This window comes from Homo sapiens, chromosome 7 (genome assembly GCF_000001405.40).
Source record: "Homo sapiens chromosome 7, GRCh38.p14 Primary Assembly".
NCBI classification, from domain to species: Eukaryota; Metazoa; Chordata; class Mammalia; order Primates; family Hominidae; genus Homo; species Homo sapiens.
Window position 1 is genome coordinate 18,025,266 of NC_000007.14, and position 4,859 is coordinate 18,030,124.

Sequence of the window (4,859 nt, forward strand, 5' to 3'; positions counted from 1 at the left end):
AAGATCCTTAATAAATTTACACTAACCCTAACTCCTCCCAGCCTCAAAATTGCTTCATGATGTGGCCCAATTTTATGTGAGTTTTACCTTAATAACGGCCATAATCTTTACAGTAACTTCATAAAAATTATTTTTCTGTCAGTGTCACTTCTTTTTTTGCTTACCACCATCTCTTTTATTCTATGTGTTCTTCTTGGCTGTATATATTTTTTGTTTTCAGTATCTCCAAGAAGTACTTTCAGGAAACACTAGTGGTAGTAGTTTCTGAGTCCCTTAATATTGTCTTCATATGTCAATGATAGTTTGGCTAAGCACAGAAATTTAGGTGAAAAATAATATTCCTTTAGAACTGTGAGGAAATTATTCCATTTTGCTTACAGCCCAAGCGTTCAAATGAAAAATTTAAAGCAATCTGAATATTGTTTCTTTAAAACTTTCTTGTTTTTGTTTTACTCTTTAGAAATTCTTAGTGATTTTTTCTTGGAGATCAGAAATTTCACATGATAAATCTAGGTATGGTGCTCTGCACCACCCCTCTCCACCCCACACATATATGCAGATATTTTATTGGTTTTCCCTAAAAAGGACAATAACAACATTTTAAAAATATAAATCTGAGGTCATTTGAGGGGCCAACAAAATACAAGGAAGGGAGATAAAAATTAAATGTTTAAATTTAACAAAAGTCACTACAATGTCACCTAACATCTACTACAATGGTGGTAATAAACTAAGGAAGATTAAGTTACAGCAAAAATAACTAATATAAATATTAGAGATTACATAGCAAAAAGTGGGTTTGCCTTCCAGAAGACTATGGTACCCTGACCATTTGGGGCCCAGTAGGATATTTAGCAATGAAAAGGTCAAGATGGGTGGAGGTAAAGCTAAATCAAAAGGAACAGGTATAACTGAGAATCCAAGATAGATAGTGTCCAAATAGATGGTGACAGATCAATCTTCCTCCTCTCAAGAAGCATTTACTGTACTTGTTGCTTCCTCTCAAGATCCCAATGGCTGCTCAAGCTGAAAGTTGCCTATTCCTGCTGTTGAGGGTGTTCAGCAACCAGAATTAATTTTGTGGTGGCTCAGGGCTCTTGCTGCAACTGAGCATCGAACTTGGAGAATTTGTGACACAAAGTGGGGGTTTGGGGCAGGGGGTAGATTGGGTGGCTTTATTGCTAGTTGTTCTGAAAAAAGAAAACTCCGAAGCATTTACATGTAAGCTTTCCAACCACTTTCAAACACCTCTACAAAACACCCTCAGAAGTCTGAAATCTTTGCAGCAGAAGGGCTGTAGTTAAAGCTGCTGGGCTAACAAAATCATCAAAGAAGCCAGATGAGACAACCCAGTCAGGAAATCCTAGTGATTATTCTTAACCTGTTTTTCCCTAATTTAAGGTAAACTCTTATATACCTGATGTGGGATGTAGAAAGTTACACTGGAGCAAGCTGGATCTTCTGCTGAACTTTTAATCAAACCTAAGAAAAAATAAAGGCAAGGTTTGTTTTTATTAATCTTATTTTATTTTAAAATAGCATAACCTAGAAGTTATTCTGTTATAAAGGAACATGGCTGAACAGGTAGGAAACAGATTCCCCATTATGAGTTCTCCTTATGGCTTCTGCAAGGATCATGGAGATGTCAATTACTCGTATTTTGGAGCAATGCTTCATCTTCTCATCTTGAGGTATGGTATTGGTGACTACCACTGCTTCAAAGCATGCAGTGTTGATGCGAGAAATGGCTGGGCCAGAAAAGATTCCATGAGTCAAGATAGCATAAACTCTGGTTGCTCCAGCTGAGAGAAGTTTGTCAGCTGCGAGGCAGATTGTAACACAAGTGTCTGCCATGTCATCTACAAGGATAGCCACACGATCATTCACATCTCCCACTAGCACTATGCAGTCCACTTCATTGGCCTTCTTCCGTTCTTTATGAATCAAAGCAAAGTCCACATTCAACTGGTCTGCAATGGAGGTCACTCTTTTAGCTCCACCAGCATCTGGCGAGACAATAATGCAGTTCTTCCACTCAGGGATATTCTCCCTTATCCACTTCAGGACAGTTGGCTCTGCATACAAGTTGTCTACTGGGATATCAAAAAAGCCCTGAATTTGAGAAGCATGTAGGTCCATGGTGATGATATGATCCGCACCTGCTATAGAGAGCATATTTGCAACAAGCTTGGCAGAGATTGGGGACCGGCTCTTATCCTTCTTATCCTGTCGGGCATAAGGGAAGCATGGGATGACTGCAGTAACTCGGCTAGCTGAAGCAATCTTGCAGGCATTAATCATGATCAAAAGCTCCATTAGACTGTCGTTGATTTCGCCACAACCACTCTGAACGATGTAGACATCCTCTCCACGCACACTCTCATCAATTTCCACGCAGGTCTCCTGGTTGCTGAATTTCTTAGTCACCACCTTGCCTAGCTCCAGGCCCAGGCGGTCAGCAATTTTCTGGGATAAGTCCTGGTGGGAGCTGCCGCTGAAGATTTTGATATTCGGCGTCTTGGCCAACTACCAGAGGCACTCCGTCGAGCGATCCAGCTGCCGCTGAGGCTGGAACGGAAGTGAAGCACAGACTCTAATGGCTTCCGGTTGTTACTCAACCGTTAGGGTCCCTTCCCCCTTGCGGCGCGCGGTCCCAAATTGACCCTGGGTCTCTTGAAAAAATTTCTGCTTGCCACCTCCCACTTCACACTTTTAGACTAAATAATCAAGTATTTACAGTGTATGGAGTTTTTTTCTATTAGCACCTATATTAGTTTCACAGGGCTATTTAAACAAATTTGAATGCATAAAAACATAAAACTACAAAGCAAAACCCAAGTTTAAAAGGAAAATTACCTACTAAAGTATATGCAAAAGATTATTTTAGAAAGAATTTCCCCAATGAAGTGAGAAAAAGACAATAAAATAGAAAGTTGAAAAATGGCATAAATAGGCAATCACAGTAAAAAAAAAATGGATAAGAAACGTGAAACAATGGAAGTAATCAAGAAAACGCTATTTTCACACATCAAGTAGCCAAAATGTTAAGATAAGGTCTTCTATTCGGATGGAATGTATAAATATGTAGATTTTGCATGGGTAATTTTGCACATAAACTTTGACTCATCATGTATACTTCTAGGAATCTATTTCAGAGAAATTTTCACAAGCACCCCAAATATATATGGCTACATAGTAGTGTAGCTGTATTCATTCATGCAATAAATATTTTGTGAACACCTCCTATATGTCAGGTATTATACTACTTCTAGGGTATAAAAATTGTGCATGACAAATAGTAATTGCCCTAGAATTGTTTATAAAAGCAAAATATGGGAACCAACAAATGTTCATCAATAGGTAAATTACCAAATAATTTATTGTATATACATATGCGACCATTAAATAGATTAAGTGTAATCATGTGGAAATGTCTCCTAGGTATTTTTTTAAAGGTAAAGTCAGTCACAAAAATATCATAGTATTATATTTATGTATTTAAGATTATGTGATACTGAAAGCATCCAATTAGCATGGAAGTCCTCTTTATAATAATTACCTTTGGAGAGGGGAGTAGGTTGTGAGAGTTGAGAATGAAGGAGGACTGTTACATTTTACTGCTATCAGTGTGGCATTTGAACATTTATTACTTTTGTAGTAAAAATGATGAACAAAATGTATTTGGTAATTAAATGTTTGTTAGCAAATTTTAAGTATACAGCTTCTATGGCGTATCGGGGCTGGAAATAGTGAGGAAGGAGGCAGAAAGGACCATAGATGCCAATGATTTCATAAAAATAATGGAGGCATCAGATACAGATCAACCATTTATATCTTGCTAATTGTGTGCCTGACATTTGGATACCAGGGTGTTTTTATTTAGCCTAAAACCAAATCATCATTTTTTTCATATTGTAAGATAACCAAATAATTTAAGAGATTTTCTCACCACACTTCTGGGCTTCCTTAATGTGTTGGGTTCATGAATAGGATAAACTCAGAAATGGGATAAGAAATGGGGTAGGCAACAAAGATGGGTAAGATTCAGCAATGTCTGTGAAAAACATTACTTAGCTATAAAAAGGTAGTTTTATATATTGAATGAGGTATTATTATAAACTCAAATAAACAGCTATGTTTTAAATTTTACACCAAAATGGCTTGCTGCTGATCCAATCATTTCTCTCCTGGCATCAACATGGTTTTCTCTCTAGTTCAGCCTCTTCCTGGTTGACAGTGTATGCCAGCCCATTTCTGTCCATAACCCTTCATTCATATTCTTTTTATCACACACACAAAAAATCAACAGACCTACCTATACCACATAATTCTCACCCTTAGCCAGACTACATAAAGTGATTTCTAAAAATCCCGTGGCTTAATTTAGAAGCACTAATAGTATTTGTAGTTTCAATTTATTTTTCTCTTACTATTCTGTGTGTCACACATTTTTCAGTGTTGTTTAAAAAACAAAACAGATTCTAAACAGGTTTAATATTACCTAAATAGGATTAAATGCTAATGTGAACATTTAAAACCCATACTTGGTTGCATTTTCCTTGAGGTGTTAAGGAGGAGAAATTTTTGTCTTGCTGCTATTTTTGTTTCAAGCTCTAGCTGTTGCTACATGTTATAGTTCCAGAAATTTGTCTACAGTCATAAAATGTTAAAGATAGATATGGCCTTAGAGACCACCTAGTCTGATTATCACACTTCACTGACAGGGAACTAAGGCTCAGAGAAATGAAGTAACCTGCCTGGGATCTATCAGCTAAATAGAGGCAGAGTGTGGATTAGAATGTGGGACTCCTGAATTTCCAAGTAGGGCCTTATCAACTATACACTTTCAAGCCTTTTCT

The 4,859-nt window shown here is 37.3% G+C and overlaps 1 protein-coding gene across 1 annotated transcript; it reads right to left on the reverse strand.

The window, feature by feature from the left end:
* Positions 1-1,504: 1,504 nt before the first annotated feature.
* PRPS1L1 (phosphoribosyl pyrophosphate synthetase 1 like 1) lies at positions 1,505-2,581 on the reverse strand. Its single transcript, NM_175886.3, is given in 1 exon segment — positions 1,505-2,581. A coding segment is annotated over 1 exon segment (957 nt). The 5' UTR covers positions 2,518-2,581; the 3' UTR covers positions 1,505-1,560.
* Positions 2,582-4,859: the final 2,278 nt, after the last annotated feature.